The sequence below is a fragment of the Homo sapiens genome, chromosome 2 (assembly GCF_000001405.40).
Source record: "Homo sapiens chromosome 2, GRCh38.p14 Primary Assembly".
NCBI classification, from domain to species: Eukaryota; Metazoa; Chordata; class Mammalia; order Primates; family Hominidae; genus Homo; species Homo sapiens.
This window is the reverse complement of record NC_000002.12, coordinates 53,900,126-53,918,746: the sequence shown is the minus strand read 5'-3', so window position 1 is coordinate 53,918,746 and position 18,621 is coordinate 53,900,126. Positions and strand designations below refer to the sequence as shown.

General features: G+C 36.1%; 1 protein-coding gene across 1 annotated transcript in view; it reads left to right on the top strand.

The window, feature by feature from the left end:
- The window catches only part of PSME4 (proteasome activator subunit 4), a 106,925-nt gene that overhangs the window by 52,247 nt on the left and 36,057 nt on the right, over positions 1–18,621 (top strand). The window contains exons 21-28 of the mRNA NM_014614.3: positions 8,617–8,672; positions 9,907–9,963; positions 10,182–10,237; positions 10,329–10,427; positions 11,879–11,941; positions 12,054–12,149; positions 14,591–14,722; positions 17,188–17,397. Coding sequence (NP_055429.2) covers positions 8,617–8,672; positions 9,907–9,963; positions 10,182–10,237; positions 10,329–10,427; positions 11,879–11,941; positions 12,054–12,149; positions 14,591–14,722; positions 17,188–17,397 — 769 coding nt within the window. The remainder of the gene's footprint in view (positions 1–8,616; positions 8,673–9,906; positions 9,964–10,181; positions 10,238–10,328; positions 10,428–11,878; positions 11,942–12,053; positions 12,150–14,590; positions 14,723–17,187; positions 17,398–18,621) is intronic.

Genomic DNA, 18,621 nt, shown 5'->3' with positions numbered 1-18,621 from the left:
GATTTTGAATTGGTTTTATGATTTTTTAAGTGCTTTTCAGAGTATTATTACTTCGAGTGAATAGCTAAATTGAATCCGTTGTTAGCTCCGCCATTTAAGGTGAAAAAAAATTAAGTTAGAATAAAATCAGCAGAGGCCCAGTGCGGTGGCTTATGAGGCAGGCGGATCTTTTGAGTGCAGGAGTTTGAGATCAGCCTGGATGACATGGCAAACCCGTCTCTACAAAAAAATACAAAAATGAGCTGGACGTGGTGGCGCATACCTGTAGTCCCAGCTGAGGTGGGAGGATTGCTTGAGCCCAGGAGGCAGAGGTTGCAGGGAGCTGAGATCATGCTGCTGCACTCTAGCCTGGGCAATAGAGTGAGACCCTGTCTCAAAAACATTTTAAAAAACAAAAAGAATAAAATCAGCAGTATATATTAATTTTAGCTTAATTATTAAACAGATAGATAATAATTTAAATATACTAAGACCATTTTTTTCAACATCAATATCTTGTTACTAAGCAAGTTAATGAAATCACATGTAAATCACATTCAAATGAGTAAGTGCCCTCTCTTCCCTCTCAAAAAACACAAAGGGGAAAATGATTTACTGATTTTCCAACAAAAACGTTAAAAAGCCTCAAGAAGTGGTTTCAAAATGTGGCTACATGTCTTTCCCATACTTTGTGTAGTCATTGTTTGGTGTCATGCATTTCCCATTTTTTTCACTCCAAAAACTGTTCTTAGGCATTGAACTTTTTAGATTATTAAGTTTAAGAAGGAGAAGTTAGGGTCATTTCAGGTAAGGAAATCTGTTATAAGTGTGTTTAGGAATTTGCCGAATTCTTTTTAAAGAACTTTTGTTTTTCATTAGTTTTGTTGTTTGATATAAGCGCAGTTGTACCAGAATTCATTTTTGTTAAAAAAGATTGATTTTGAACAATATTTAAAAATAAGAGGCTTCAAAAATTGTTTCGATTTTCACCTATGATCTTAACAGTGTGTAATACAGTAAGAACTTGACCCTTTTATGGCAGGCAAAAAGCTATTTCATACTTAACAAACTTTGCACATCAGCAAATTGAGTTCTGCTTGAAGGTGTCAACAATTAGAATTGTGGTCATTTAATCCAATAATTTATCTAAGAGCAAAAGCATGTATTTTTAATGTTAGTAAATTTTTAGTACTGAGTAATCATTAGGATGCACTGCTGAAGGGTCAGCTAAAGAGGCCAAGGGATTTTCCTTGCAGTTCGTATCAGCCTGTATCTTGATGCCATGTACACTGTAATAGTGAATTGAAGCAAAAGGCTTTATCCTTTGAAATAAATGTGCATCATGACAAAAGCTTCATATATTTGATTATTATAAAGCCAATTAGATTTTTTATAATGAAGTGCATTTTAATAAGGAAAAGAATATATTATGATAATCTTATGAATACCATATGATACAGACTATTAGTTTATATTACTATATATTATAAGCTATAAAATTGATCCTGAGTATCCTTTTATCTGCTTTTCCCAGAAAAGTTAAAAAGGAAAAGATAAATTTAGCCTGAAAGGTTTTGCGTTTTAGCACTTGCACATTTAGAGTGAAAATTTAATGTAATAATATGATGAAGTAATAAAAATCTATATTAAATATATGTATATTTATTTAAACATATATAGATTAAAATATAAAATGCTTCCTGATACTTAATAATATAATGAAATAAAACAATAAAACTTCAATTTTTAAAAATAATTGAATAATACGTATTTTTAGGGTTCTTTTTAGTTACATGTATCTGTGGGGGATAATGATTGTATAAAGTAAAATTAAGAATAAATGAACAGGTCTTTGCCTTTGAATTGCCAAAAGAGGGAGTTTTCCGTCTTCCTTTGACTTTTGCAAGTTCTTAATAGAATTGTATTTAATTTATAACTAGCATTACCTTCAGCTGAAACTTTATTTTGGCAAAGTATAGCTTTTTACATTTATTTCCTATGTGTAACATTTTTACTTTTTTTTAACAGATGGTTAATTTCATAAAGTACCATAAAATAAAATAGCCTTTAAAATTTCTAAAATGCTTATTTTAATATAGGTTAGTAATTGTTCAAATCTTCTAAATCTAAATTGATTTGAAAAAACTAATACAGTAATTCCAATAAATGGTCCCATTGTTCTGTGATACGAATTCATACTGCCTGGTGTGAAGAATGAATATCTGTAGCATGATTTATGGTGATTATCAGCAGATCAATTTGAAACTAGTAGAGAAAGAGAATTAACTTAGCACATTAGTTGCTCCATAGGAAATGGGAAAATATACTAGGTCAGGGAGAAAATGAAACACATAATTGTCATGAATATTTTAGTGTAATGTCTAAGATGTCTGAGGAAAATATCTATTGTTAATAACAGTTTGGCTGTGGTATTAGGAGACAGGAGACATTATGCATTTTCTGAAATACCAGACCAGTTTTTAGACGCACATAGCAATTCATAAGATTTTTTTTTTTTTTTTTTTTGAGACAGAGTCTCGCCCTATTGCCCAGGCTGTAGTGGTGGGATCTCAGCTCACTGCGACCTCCACCTCCTGGGTTCAAGCAATTGTCCTTCCTCAGCCTCCTGAGTAGCTGGGATTACAGGCATCCGCCCCCACACGCAGCTAATTTTTGTATTTTAATTTTTTTTGAGGTGGAGTTTTGCTTTTGTCACCCAGGCTAGAGTACAATGGCACTATCTTGGCTCACTGCAACCTCTGCCTTCCGGGTTCAAGCGATTATCCTGCCTCACATTCTCAAGTAGCCAGTATTGCAGGCGTGTGCCACCATGCCTGGCTAATTGTTTTTTGTATTTTTAGTAGAGATAGGGTTTCACCATGTTGGCCAGGCTGGTCTCGAACTCCTGACCTCAAGTGATCCACCTGCCTTGACCTCCAAAAGTGCTGGGATTATAGGCATGAGCCACCACATTCAGCCTCATAAAATTCTTTTTTTTAAACATTTAAACTTATATAAATCTTAGATAAAATTCTAGCTGCTGTAATTTTTTTTTGTCAGATTACTTAGTATTAAGATTGCCGTGTGTGTATTAGTAGTCTTTGTCTTCTGGAAGAAGAGTACAGTGATAAAAAAACAAAACAAACAAAAAGACCCTAGAAGCTTAGTTTACTTCTTTTTTTTTTCTTCTACTTTAAAAAAAATATAGAGAGACAAGGTCTCACTATGTTGCCCAGACTGGTCTGTGAGCTCAAGTGATCCTCCCACCTGGGCCTCCCAAAGTGCTAGGATTACAGGTGTGAGCCACCACACCAGCCTTTTTTTTTTTGAGATAGAGTCTTGCTCTGTTGTCCAGGTTGGAATACAGTGGCACAGTCTTGGTTCACTGCTCCCTTCATCTCCTGGGCTCAAGTGATCCTCCCACTTCAGCTCCCGAATAGCTGGGACTATAGGCGTGGGTCACCATGCCCAGCTAATTTTTGTATTTTTTGTGGAGATAGGATTTCGCTTTGTTGCCTAGGCTGGTCTCAATTTCCCGAGCTCAGGCGATCTGCCTGTCTCCACATCCAAAAGTGCTGGGATTACTGGCAGGCATGAACCACCACGCCCAGCCAAAGCTTAGGTTACTTTTTAGTTTTCCTGTGAGAATGTCTAACTTAGTCCTAATAGGGTATGTGGGATGGTCTTAAAATCTCATTGTTCAGGGAAGTGGCTACTAAATGGGAAAACCTGTCTTCTGTGCTATATTCTTATATTAGAGATTGACAAAAAATAAAAAGCCAAGTCCTAAGCATAAAAGTAAATGATCTACCTAATGGTATCCACTTTGGGGATGCCATGTACCTTTGGGCCTTTAGCAATATAGGGTTACTAAATATCTTTTTTTTGGAAACGAAGTTTCACTCGTTGCCCAGGCTGGAGTGCGGTGGCACAATCTCAGCTCACTGCAACCTCTGCCTCCCAGGTTCAAGTGATTCTCCAGTCTCAGCCTCCCGAGTAGCTGGGATTACAGGCGTGTGCCACCATGCCCGGCTAATTTTTGTATTTTTAGTAGAGACAGGGTTTCACCATCTTGGCTGGGCTGGTCTTGAACTCCTGACCTTGTGATCCACCCGCCTCTGCCTCCCAAAGTGCTGGGATCACAGGCGTGAGCCACTGCGCCTGGCCACTAAATATCTTATACTTACTATAAACTTTACAGTTTCAAAGGATGGATATAATAAAGTAATTGTGGGTAATTAAGGATAAATTTTTTTCTTATTTCGTACTATTGAAAACAGTTTGAATTTTTAACAGTTTTGTCAGATATCACAGGTTGTTGAATTAATCTTAAAATAGGACCTATTTTGCTCTTGGAACCTTTAGATAATGTTTTAAGAGAAATATTTGTGGTATAGTTTATACTCATAATTCTACCTTTATAGATGTGGAAGTTGGATTATGTCTTTCCAGAGTCACAGGAATTTTGGACCCTTGCCTTTAATCCTGAAATCATCATTAATTTTTCCTTTTGCAGTCCATTCTCTAAATAATCTTTTAGGTCTAACCAGCTATCACAGGATGCAAAAAACTAACATCTAAAAAACAGGGTTACTCAAGGTAGAGGAGTCATTTTTCATCTCAAAATATTCCTTTATTTTGTGTCCCCTTTCCTCTGATAGATTTATTACGTCATTTTTAGTTAAATCATCCTTAGGATCTCAGCTTTTACTAACTTTTCGCTCAAAGAAATTCATACTTAAGGTCTAATAGTGAGACCATTTCATTGATATGTGAAAGGATGTGTTGCTTATGCAATGAGGGGCAGGGCTAGCTAACCTCTCTTGGCACCTCCAGGAAACTACCCAGCTCTGCTGGGGGAGCTGCACACAGAAAAGGAAACAGTTACTACTCCACGGTGAGTAACCCTGTTTTCTCCTTATTTCACCTTCTGACTGTTTTCATTTATTTTTAAAAGCTTATGTGTCAGACTTGGAAGTAGTTCCTGTTTTCAGAGTTAATTTAAAATCTAGCAACATATAAGATTTCTCTTTATTTAGTGACCCTTTGTTCACTGGCAGGATAAGAGCCAGGTTTTCATTTGTGTTTATAGTTATTATTGCTACCTAGGATTGAATTGGATAATAGAACACAAAAATAGGCCTAACTGTCTCTTGTGAGACATTTGTACTTTGAAGGGAAAAAATCTATTAGTGGCTTGGTTTTACATCTTTTATGTTTATTTTTATTTGGAAGGGGAAGGGTTATTGGGAAGATAGGATGTTCTTTCACTTATACACAGGAAGAATTTTATATTATTGTTTACAGCTGTTTCATGACAATTCGCCCAGCCTTCATTTACATATGTGATTTGTATTATATATTTTGTTTTTGTGTTATTAGTTATTTCTTTTTCAGCATCCCTTCTTTCCTACCAGTGATTCTTTTCATAGTCCTGCTCTAATCATATCTAAAGAAGATTCCCATCTAGTGGTACGAATACTATAGTTGTTGAAAATTCATAGGTCCTTTTTTAGTGGTACAAATATTTTAATACATTTTACTATATGTTAGGTGGCCTGGTACTATCTAGAAGCTATGAAGCAGATTTAATTTTATTATTATTACATAGAGGGTGTTATTTACAGTATGTTGTGCTGGAATTATTTTTTTGAATTGTATTGTTCCTTAGGTTAAATGATACTATGGTTTGTAAAATGAACTAGTGAATGAGTAGGATGGATTTCACATGAGGAAGGGAGAGGTAGTGATGGAATTTGATTTGACTTACATATTGTTAACATAGCTTTTAGTCAGAATATAGATCTGTAAGACAGTGCCTTAAGACTATTCACTTAAGATTATGTGCATAGCTAAAAGCTACCAGAACAGTTTAATATATCACAGATTACATCCTGGGCACAATGAGATCTATAATGTCACAAAGAGATACAGTCATGATATTTTACTTGGGTAATGGGTAGAGATTTCTTTTAGTAAAAAATCTTCTAAAGGTCAGAAGAGGTAGGATACTATGGCTCATGCCTGTAATCCCAGTGCTTTGGGAGGTGGAGGTAGGAGGATTGCTTGGGGCCAGGGATTTGAGACCAGCTTGGGCACCATAGCGAGACCCTGTCTCTACCAAAAAGTAAATAAACAAAATTAGCTGGCGAGGTGGTGTGCACCTGTAGTACCAGCTACTCAAGAGCCTGAGGTGTATGTGAGTCCACTTGAGCCAGGAAGGTTGGGGCTGCAGTGAGCCATGATCGTACCATTGCACTGCAGCCTGGGTGGCAGAGGGAGATCCTATCTTGAAAAATAAATAAATAAATAGCTACACTTGCTGAGAAGCATTTATTGTAAATCATGTTAATCCAGTTAATTTGTGGTAGGCAAGAAGAGATCAAATTATGGTGGATAAGAATAAACAAAAGCTGTAATGTATACTACCCAGATATGTCCTATATATAGTCTTCCCTTGGTGAAGTTAGGGGATTGGACCTACAGCATACCAAAATACATTCATACTCAAGTGCCACAGTAGGCCCTGTAGAGCTCACATACAGGAAAAGTCAGCCCTCCATATGTGTAGATTTCTCATCTGGCTAATACATTTAGTTGAAAAAAAAATCTGCGTGTAAGTAGACCCACACCTGTGTTGTTCAAGGGTCACCTCTGTGTAGGAGATATGGAAGCTGTATTTTAATCCAAGTTTTAAAAGTCGAGGAAGAAGATAAGGCTTTTATTTAAATACATTACTTAATATTTTACAATCTTATACAGGATTTTTTAAAGTAGTCAGCATAAATGATTATTTTTCAAATTCCCTGATAAGAAAACAATTCAAAGTGTCACATGGATTTTAAGAAATTTGGTGTCAGGACTCTTAGATGAAACTTGTTTGAAAAACTTTAAATTCCCAAATGACAGGCTTTTTAGATATAGTAAAAACTATGGAGAATAATTGGTTATAAAGAATGCTTTTTTTAATTTGTATAATATGACAGTAACTAAAGTGACAGTAATTAAAATTCATGCTTGATTTAATATTATATGGCATTAGATACAGACTGCATAAGCTGCAGACTGTATATTTCTACTTCAGAAAACTAAGTGTTTATGGCAGCAGTGGGGAGACACATACTCTAATAGGATGGCTCATAGCAAGCACTTCCCCTGCTCTAACAGTGGGCGGGGGGAGGGTGGGAACTCTCTTGTGCTTTATTCTTGTTACTCTTGAGTACAGGCCTTTTCTCTTTGGTGAAATCTAATTTCAGTAAAGACATAACGTTCATGTAAAGGAATCTGATTTTATTTTTTACTAACAGATTTTGGATACATACATATTTTTGATCATGCAAAAATATTTAAGATGCTCAGGTTTGCCAGTGGTTGAAGCTTTATAGAAGGAAAACAAAATTTTAAGAGGAATTTGGTCTTGAAAGTCTGAAAAAGCAAATTAACGTTTGATACTATTAATATACAATATTAATAAGCTTTGAAGTAAGTTAGTGAAAAAGAAGCCATTCTTTGTTTATACTCTATGGGCTTGGTTTTGAAACTTGAGAAGGTATTGTTGCTATCCTCTGTACTGGGTTATGGTGAGAAACATAGTTAAATAACTGACATTTTAGAAATATGTTTTTACCTATTACTTAGATAAATACCTGAATTCATAACTGTCAAATATTAAGGTAGAGATAACCCATTTAATTCAGCTACTTTTTGAGGGTATACAATATAGCTGGGGATGTGTTGATTTAAAAATAGTATTTTCTTCATGGCAAGTCTTGTGCAGTTCATTGGTGATTAGTAATAATAATAAGATTGCTGTTTATTAACTCTGTATATGCTTGCCTGATTTGTGCCTTTTTTTCCTTTTAGAATGTATCTCTTTGATTAATAAAAGCTTTGAATTAAATCTCATATTTTGAAATAAAGTATTGAAAATTGAGGTATATTTTTCACTAAAGAAAATGTAGATTTCAGATATGTCAATTCTCATTTTCCTATAAAATCTGTCCTTGCATATGTAAAAAGTGACTTTTAACTGTTCAATGAATTTAACTGGCTGGGTCTGGTTGTGGTAGCCTTGTGGAGCAGGGCTACCGCTTATAGGCTCAGGGTAGCCTCTGGTTGTGGTATCATAATTCTTTATGGCAGATCTTTAATTAGGAAACAGTGATTTTTATACCTGAATTTCTTCAAAAAGAGTGTCTTATTACTGCACATTAGGAGAGATGTTTTTGACTGATTTTAAGAGGAAGGTAATGATTATCTAAATAAGCTTGTCAGCTCTATATGCTTTAGTAAAATTTGTTTTAACTGTTGTGCCATTATTAAGCTGACTTTTCTTTATGTAAAGGTTTATCATATTTAATCTTTTACATTTGAGTATTGGATATCAATATTATGTTCCTTTAGGAGGCCTCCTGAAGTCACTAAATTTTTTCTTTAAGTTGAATAACATGATTCTTACTGAAACAGCATTCATCTTGAGAAAGATAGATTGATTTTTCCCATTGAAGATGGGAAATCTGTGTCTGTTAAAAGAACATTATCTTTGTTTTGGTTTAAACAGTCCAGCAATGAAACTTTTCCCTTTAATACTTCATATTGGTATTATTAATAAATGCAAGCACTCTTGTTTTTATACAGAGTACCAAGTATGGTGTCCTTGGAAGAGACAAAGTTGTATACTGGACTTGAATATGGTATGTGAATCCTAATCTGAGTAAATCTGTGTGGATTATTTTTGTCAGTAACTCCACAAGGACTAAAATGAAGTATGAAGTAGTGTTTTTGTTTTGTTTTGTTTTGAGACAGAGTCTCACTCTGTCTCCCAGGCTGGAGTGTGGTGACGCGATCTCTGCTCACTGCAACCCCTGCCTCCCTGCCTCCCAGATTCAAACGATTCTCCTGCTCCAGCCTCCCAAATAGCTAGGATTACAGGTGTGCACCACCAAGCCCAGCTAAGTTTTATATTTTTAGTAGAGACAGAGTTTCACCGTGGTGGCCAGGCTGGTCTCCAGCTCCTGACATCAAGTGATCTACCCACCTCCGCTTCCCAGAGTGCTGGGGGATTACAACCGTGAGCCACCCTGCCCGGCCTAAAATGAAGTAGTTTTGTATTATGATGTTCCTAATCTCTTTTTTGATATATGAAAAGAATATTAATTATACAGTAGTCATTTTTGCCTTTTCTGGAGAAACTGGAAAATTATTGTATAAAGAATAGCCAGTAAGAAATTGGGTCAGTCTGTATTTGAATGCTATGTACAGAGGTAGGCTTTTATATATCATAATGCTCATTTATGTTTAAAATTATTCTAGCACTTATATGTTATACTTGGTGTAAATACGAATATTGTAACCCTATATTTAAAAAAACTTTATACCTTCCTATCATAGTAAATTAAGTTTTATAATAACATTTATGTAAAACATTTTATTGTTAATGTTCTAAATCTAATAGAAATTTAGCACCCTTTCTCATCGCTGGATTAACACCAAAGTTACATACATTAATTGCTAGGCTGTAATTGCTTGATTTACGTCACCCACAACTAATTAGAAAATTCCATGTATTTTAATCTCTAATTAGTGACTAGAGCCTTTGAAATATTGGCAAAGGTGGTTTTTCTTTCCCTCGCCTCTCCAACCTTCTTGCCCCATGAAGTTTTATAAGCAGGTCATTTTATCTATTTTTTATTATTATTATTTTTCTTTATCTTGAAGCATGATAGACATCTCATAAGCAGGTCATTTAAGTGTAGAGGTTTTAGAAGTTGCTGTAGCATGCCTAGCCATTAATTCAACTATGGTAAAGGCAGACCTATTTTTTTCTCCAATACTTTATCCCTCCTTGACCTAACCTGTTGATATAAACTTTAAAAGTCTGAGGAGCATTCAGTGTCTAAAATACCTTCTTTTATTTTTTCAAAATAGATCTGTCTCGAGAGAACCACCGAGAAGTAATTGCTACAGTTATAAGGAAACTTCTTAGTAAGTGTATCTGTACATTTAACTTATTTGTACTTTGGAATAAGTATTTTGGAATTTTAATCTATAACATGCATGTGTTTACTTAATGTTTTTTATTCTAAATGGTGAGAATATTGGGCAGTGATTTTTTTTCTTAATAGATTCTTGACTAATGCCTCAAGATTCTTATAGTAGTTCAAAATATTTTAACCAAAATCCTTTTCTTTCTTCCATTATAGACCACATACTTGATAATTCAGAAGATGATACTAAGTCATTGTTTCTTATTATAAAGGTACATTTGTCATTTGATAGTTGCATAATGATTAATACGATCAAGCTTGGATTGATGACTTGCAAATACAATTTGAAATTCTTTGACACAGATTATTGGAGACCTTTTACAATTCCAAGGATCTCACAAGCATGAATTTGACTCCCGATGGAAAAGCTTCAACTTAGTAAAGAAATCAATGGAAAATCGGGTCAGTATTTTCACCTAAAAGTCTGCACTAATTGTTTTAAAGTCGTATAATAACCTCGTAATTTGGGTATTATTCAGCATATAGAAGAAGTTTTCCTAAAAGGAAAAATAGTAGATTTAAAAGTATGTAAAAGTTAAAAACATCATGGTAGAAATCAAATGGATCCTAGCAAAAAATATATTTTTCTTATACAGAATCTTCTGCCTGTTTCCATGACAGTCTCTAAACTCTCAATGGGAATTTGGACAATAGCATTGAGACTACCTTGTAAGAACTTGAAGGAATTTAAAAATAGGAGGAATTATCTATGGGCATGAATTTAAAGCATTACACTTTATGTAGATCTGAGAAAAAGTTACCCTGTATTATATTCAGCTGCAGAAGTCATTGTAAGCTTCTTTGGGGCCTTGGAAGAAAGAGTATCAGTGTAAGCCAAGAGATGTTCATGGCAGAATTCTTACGCCAGAAACTTTTACTGAAATTGAGTCTAAAAAGGTTGTATGAGTTCATTGTTTAGACAACAGTTGCTAGATACTTTAGACAGAAGGAATGGCATGTAAAAGGGCAAGGAGATATAAAAACATGGCATGCTTTTAGGGGCCAGGGGCTGTAGAGGGTAAACTAGGTTGCTTATACTTTGTTTTGAGAAAGTGTTTCAGTTTTATATTCAGCAGTAGGAGAGTCATTAACAGTTCTTAAGTAGATCTGATTTGAATATTGATTGGAAAAGTCAACACTCAATTCACTAAACATTAAAAAGCTCTGCCACCACTGTGAACAGTAAGTACAAAGAGATTGATACTGTAAGCAAGAAAGGGAGTTAAACTGTTTCACTCCAGGTGAAAAACACAGCCTAAGTCAAGTCAGTGGTATTGAAATGGAAATAACATGTTTTGAAAATGGTAGAATTGGGGGGCTTAATGACTAAGGAACTGTGGTGTGAAAGAAGAAGAGTCTTTGAGCCTCAACTATCTGCCTTTGGTGACCAGGTGGAAGATTATATGGATAAAAGCTTAAATGATAACTTTTAGAAAAGATATTATTATTAAATTTTGTAGTAAACATATTTGATTACCCTGAAAGGCTATGGCTATTTGTAGATTTAAGAGAGTTGAGCAATTGTCTTAGTAGGCTGTTTTTGTACTTTCAGTATTTAACTGAATAAGAACACAACTCTGTTGCTCTCCCATGCATGGGTCTAATAGTAAACTATCAGAGAAAAACAGGGTGTTGGATGGGCTATTTAAAAGGGGGATATTTCTACTGTTAGCCATAAAAATTAAGACAACATTTTTATATAAGCCTGATGTCTTTAGAATAAAGGAAATACCACCACCACTCACCAGTCAACCAGGGACCTTTTTGACCACTTATTAAGGTATTTAGAGGCATCCATTGTTGAAGTCATTTAGGGAAAATGTTGAAGTATTTGTTGCTACTTTGTTTTCCAGCTCCATGGGAAAAAACAACATATCAGAGCACTGTTGATTGATAGAGTAATGTTACAGCATGAGGTAAATATGTTTTTCAGTCATAGTGACTTTTTAAAATGTCAATTTTCCAGATGAGTATTTAGTTTTGTTTTCATAATCAAATTTTAGTAAATGTTTGCGATTGTTTTCTTAGCTACGGACACTAACTGTTGAGGGTTGTGAATACAAAAAGATACATCAAGATATGATCAGAGATCTTCTTCGTTTATCTACAAGTTCATACAGTCAGGTAAGGCTTATCCAAACGCTGCACTCTCATGCCCTCCCATTTTATTACATGCAATCTTAATATCCCCCTTTTAAGAAGAGAGTTTAAATAATTTCACCCATAATTGGAATTATTCTCTCAATTATTGGAAATTGTAATTTCCAGTAATTACCTCCAGGAAGTAATAAAACCAGGACCAAAAGCTAGGCTCTCTTAACTCATGTTAGCATAGAAAACAGCTTTCAAATTGCAAATATATTCAAGCTAAGGTTGCTAGTCATTTTTTTGTAATGCTTAATGTTGCTGTTTGTAATTGCTTCTCATTTATTTAAATTTGGAAGACAGTGCTAGTGTGATATTGCTGGCACTTCAATCACATTTTGAAGCCCAGTCTACGAAGGCCACATAATTCCTCCTAGACATTAAGCTTGGGTTTTAGGAAGCTGCTACCACATGAATTGTGAGGTCTGTCCTTTAGTGTAGGAACAAGAGATTATCTGCAAGCACAGAAAAGTGGAAAAAGAGATTCATGTGCAACTAATTATTCTATCTTTATGAAATAATGTAAATTAACTACAGGTTAAGCATTGGAAACCCAAAATACTCCAGAATCCAAAACTTTTTGAGCACCAACATGATGCTCAAAGGAAATGTTTATTGGAGCGTTACAGATTTCAGATTTTTGGATTTGGGATGATCACCCAGGAAGTTTATAATCCACATGTTTCAAAATGTGAAAAAAATCTCAAATCCAAAACATTTCTGGTCCTGAGCATTTTATTTTACTTTATTTTTATTTTTTGAGACAAGGTCTCTCTCTGTTACCCAGGCTGCAGTGCAGTGGTGTGATCACAGCCCACTGTAGCCTTGAACTCAAGCCTTGAGCTTGAGCTCAAGCGATTGTCTCACCTCAGCTTTCTAAATAGCTGGGATTATAGGCGTACATCACCATGAACTCAGGTCTTGAACTCAAGCCTTGTAGCCTTGGGCTTGAGCTCAAGCGATCGTCTTATCTCAGCCTCCCAAATAGCTGGGATTACAGGCATGCGCCACCATGCTGGACTAATTTTTTTCATTTTTAATAGAGATAAGGTCTCGTTGTATTGCCCAGGCTGGCCTCGAACTCCTGGGCTCAAGCGATCTGCCTGCCTGGGCCTCCCATGGTATTGGGATTACAGGTGTGAGCCACCATGCCCGGCTACCTGAACATTTTAGATAAAGGATACTCAACCTGTAACTAATCTCTAGCTCAGAGATTCCCTCTAAAGTAATGTTTAAAATGAGTTTGAGGCCGGGTGTGGTGGCTTATGCCTGTAATCCCAACACTGTGGGTGGGAGGCCAAGGCAGGTGGATCACTTGAGATCAGTTCAAGACCAGCCTGGCAACATGGTGAAACCCCCTCCCTACTAAAAATACAAAAATTAGCCAGGCGTGGTGGCATGCGCCTATAGTCCCAGCTACACGGAGGCTAAGGCAGGAGAGTTGCTTGAACCCTGGGAGGCGGAGGTTGCAGTGAGCCGAGATGGTGCCACTGCACTCCAGCCTGGGTGACAGAGCAGGAAAAAAAAAAAAACTGGTTATAGTAAAAGCAACACATTGTACATATTTCAAACTCTTTTTTTGTTTGTTTGAGACGGAGTCTCGCTCTGTCACCCAGGCTGGAGTGCAGTGGCACGATCTTGGTTCACTGCAACCTCCGCCGCCTGAGTTCCAGCAATTCTCCTGCCTCAGCCTCCCCGGTAGCTGGGACTACAGGCACGCACCACCATGCCTGGCTAATTTTGTATTTTTAGTAGAGACGGGGTTTCACCATGTTGGCCAGGCTGGTCTCTAACTCCTGACCTCAGGTGATCCACCCACCTCAGCCTCCCAAAGTGCTGGGATTACAGACGTGAGCCACTGCGCCCATCCTACTATAACCAGTTATTATCCATTACTATTTAACTAGTTCATAAGTTGTAAATTTATACTGAATATTTTGTTTGGGTCAAAAATATGTGAGATTGTACTTAAGGTTTGCCTTAAAAGGGTTAAGTTGTTATGTGTCTGTTTTGGTTTATTTTAGTTCCTCCTGGAAATTCTTTAATTTTCCTCATGTGGACATAAGAGAAAATCTGGCTCTTTATATCTAGAATAATTCAGAATAAAAAGTTTAGTAGTATGCTGATTACTTTTAGCTATGTTACTGAGCAAATGCATATAGGTTCCATTCAGTCTCCCCTTTATCAAACATATTTCAGTCAGTGTAACCTAAACCATGGATATGGTCGGTGGTATTGTGCTTTCCTTTTGATATAAGTAAAGATAATCATTTACTTCTTTTTTAGGGTACGTGCTTTGAAATTTATTTTGTTAATGAGAAAAACATGTAAATTATCATTACTGTTTTTGATAATTTGTTTTAAACTGCTTTGTACTTTACTATTTAATAAAAGTCCTTTGTTAATAATACTTCCTCCAGGTGAGAAATAAGGCTCAGCAAACATTTTTTGCTGCCTTGGGAGCATATAACTTCTGTTGCAGAGATATCATTCCCTTGGTTTTGGAGTTCTTAAGGCCTGATAGACAAGGTGTTACACAGCAACAATTCAAGGTATAGGGTTTTTTTCCTATTTTACTGTAAACATTTTCAAACATACTGAAAAGCTGAAAAAATTCTACGGTAAACATCCATATCTTCTTCACCACTGAGATTCTGTATTTAAGATTTTGCTGTATTTGCTTTATCGCATATCTGTTCTTTTTTTTAATGTATTTCAAAGTAAATTGAAGATATCAGCACGATTCACCTTTAAACAGGTATGATCTTTGTTTCATACTAATATGAGGAGACTCATTATTTAGTTATTTACCTCTGTTTGTGATCAGTATTATGATGAAGAAAATATAAGAAGCAGACTTTCCTGAGGAAAATAATTGTTTAACTTGAGTGCTAGTGGCCAAGTAGCCTGGCTGGCATATGGGAGAGAGGGATGAAAGACCAAGAAGTTTAGAGTAGTATGACCAGTGTGAAGGAAGGGCTTAAGACAGGAAGGAAGAAATATGGTAAGTTTGAGCAGTGGTATGAAAGCTTATGCAATTGGAGTAGAGAAGAAAGGAAATTATACAGGATAAGGCAAATACTACATCCTATGGGGATGTAATAAAGTATAGGTAATATATAATGATTGCTTATACTGTCAGGTAGAAAGAAATAGATTGAGAGTGAATTAAGAGTGAGAACGGATGGGACTTGTTGATTGAATATGAGGGGACTGAAAAAAGGAAATGTCAAAGTTACTAAGCTTTTGGATCGTACAACTAGTTGCTGGGCACATCAGAGAGAGAGAGAGAGTAGTTAGATGATGACATAGTTAATTTGGACTAGTTTAATTTGAAGTGGTTCCAATGACCTAAGAGCACCATCAAGTGGGCAGTTAGACATCTGAGTCCGAAGATACCATTTCCATGTATGTTGATTATAATTGAAATCTATGGGCATGGATAAGAAAGCCTAGGAGGAGAATAAGAAGAGGACCAAGGGGCATATGTTGAGAAACTCCTTTAGAAGCCAAATAGAAGAGCTGAGTGACCCTGGAGAGGTCAGAAAGGTATCAAGAAATCGGGAAGAATCACAGAAGGCAGGGAGAGGTCTTTCTAGAAGGAAGACTCAGTGAGTAGAGTCATTGTTTTTTGGAGATAATGAAGACGAGCCCTAAACATCTTCCATGAAGCTTGTAAGACAGAGGTGTCAATAAACTATAGCTCAGGCTCAGTTGCTTGCTTTTGTAAAAGTAAAAGCTTGCTTTTTTAAAACTTCTTGAAACACAGCCATGTTCATTCATTTATATATTATGTATGGCTACTTTCACTCTACAGTGGCAGAGAAGAGTAGTTGAGACAGAGAGCAAATGGCTTTGCTGTTTGCTTTCTGGCCGTTTATGGAAAATGTTTGCTGACCCCTGGTGCAGATGTATAATTCAAGAGTGTTGTAGGTTTGACTCATTGACTATTCTGTTGTTGACCTTAATGAGAGCAGTTTAAATGGACAAAATTAGAGAGGTCAAGTACAATCAAAACAGAAAAATATCTATTAGATCAACAAAATCGAGGTTATGAGTGACCTTATAGAGAACCTGTAGAGGAGTGGAATACAAAGTCAGTAATAAGCTAGATTGGAATCAGGTGAGGTAAATTGGAAATCAAAAGTTTTGATAGTAAAAACTTTTTATGAAAAAGCACTTTAGAAAGGATACCTGCTGTCATCAAAGGATACCTGCTGTCATCAGAATCATTGTGGTTAATTGGACTTTTATGAGTAATAAATATGCAGTATACTTTAGTTTTTATGTACTTTGTAAATTACTCAGCAACCAGGTGTTAACTAATATTTAATAAATTATTTCAAACACCAAACTTCAGACTCTAAAATTTTAAGAGTGACACATGTTGTGGTTTTTATGATACAGTTGAAGAAAATCAGAATGGAATATATGTTCTTAGAAACATCCTTCCATTTCTTTATTACCTTATTAGTAGCCATTCTTTGAACAATTTCTTTTTTTCTTTTTGGAGACAGGGTCCTGCTGTGTCACCTAAGCTGGAGTACAGTGGCACAGGCATGGCTCATTGTAGCCTCAACCTCTTGGGCTTAAGTGATCCTCCCACCTCAGCCTCCTGAGGAGCTGGGACCACAGGTGTGTGCCACCATGCCCAGCTAATTTTTGTATTTTTTATAGAGAAGAGGTTTCACCATGTTGCCCAGGCTCTCAAACTCCTGAGCTCAACCAGTCTGCCTTATTTGGCCTCCCAAAATGCAAGAATTACAGGCGTGAGCCACCTCACCTGTCCCAAACTCTTTATTAAATGACTTAGAGAAAATATTAATGGATATCACCTAAATGTCAAGTTCAGATTTCTAAAAAGTAACATGTTAAATGTGTGAACATATTTTACTAACCAATATTAAGCATTTAAGTAATCAATACTCATTTAAAACCAATACATAGGTGCATTGGCTACAACTACATGATGCCTCTTATTTCCCATGTAAACATATATATATTTTTTTTTCTGCAGGGTGCCTTGTACTGTCTCCTTGGAAATCACAGTGGTGTGTGCTTGGCAAACCTTCATGATTGGGACTGTATTGTACAGACGTGGCCAGCGATTGTTTCTTCAGGGCTTAGCCAAGCAATGTCCCTGGAAAAGCCATCAATAGTGAGATTGTTTGATGATCTTGCAGAAAAGATTCATAGGCAGTATGAAACAATTGGCTTGGACTTCACAGTAAGCAATATCATTCTTTCATTCAAGTTTTAGTGTAAATCCTGTCTTGTTAAAATGCCCTTTATTTTTCTTGCCCTTTTTCCAGTAATAATATTCTTGGCATTTGAGTCCAGTGTTTTTTTAAAAAAGCGTTTGTTACCTGTTTGCTTTTTGTACTTTCATTGATCATTATTGTACATAACAGGGTGAAGTAGCAAGTTGGAGCATGGTAGGGAGACAGCCAGGGCTCCACAAAGGGTTATTGATTTGTTATATTTACCCTTATTTTGTGTGTGCCCACAGCTTCATTTTTCAAAGAGTTAATTATATTTTATGAGGTTTACCATGCTAGCCAAAGTCGCAAAAGATCGACTACTGGGTTCGTAATTTATAGTGAAGAAAACTAAAATTGAATGATTTGACTCGAAAGACTAAAGAATATAACTTTCAGTGGTGCTTAGGTTGAGAGTTATAGCAGATTTTCTAGGAACTTGCAAATCTGTATTTATACTCCCTCAGAACATGGGGGTGAGTAAAAGAAGGGTGAGCACAGCAGAATCACCCTCTTGGCTGGCGTGACTATGGTTGACATCTCTCCCCTGGTTTAAAAACCACTGTTCTAAATGTATTCCTTTTAAATCAAACATAGGGTTGCTATTTGCGACTGTCATTAGATTATACTTTATTTTTTAGAAGAAAAATTTTAATTGAGATGTAATTCACATATCATAAATATCACCCTTTTAATATGGACATGTTATATGCACAGTAGAATATTCACAGGGCTGTGTAACTACTCAAATTCCAGAACATTTTCCTTTTTCTTTGTTTCTCATTCTCATTCTGTCTCATTCTGTCCCCCAAGGCTAGAGTGCAGTGGCATAATCATCCCCTGCCTCAGCCTTCCTAGTAACTAGGACTATAGGTGTGCACCACTACACCCAGCTAATTTAAGTTGTTTTTTTTTTTTTGAGAGAGAGACAGGGGTCTTGCTGTGTTCCCCGGGCTGGTCTCAAACTCATGGCCTCAAGCAGTCCCCTCACCTTGACCTCCCAAAGTGCTAGGATTACAGAGATGAGCCACCATGTCTGGCCTCCACAATGTTTTCATCACCCCAAAAGAAAACAAGTACCTAATAGCAGTCGCTTCCCATTCTTCCATACCCCAAACCCCTGGAAACCACTTTCTCTGTCAATAAATTTGCCCATTATTAGATATTTCATATAAATGGAATCGTAAAATATG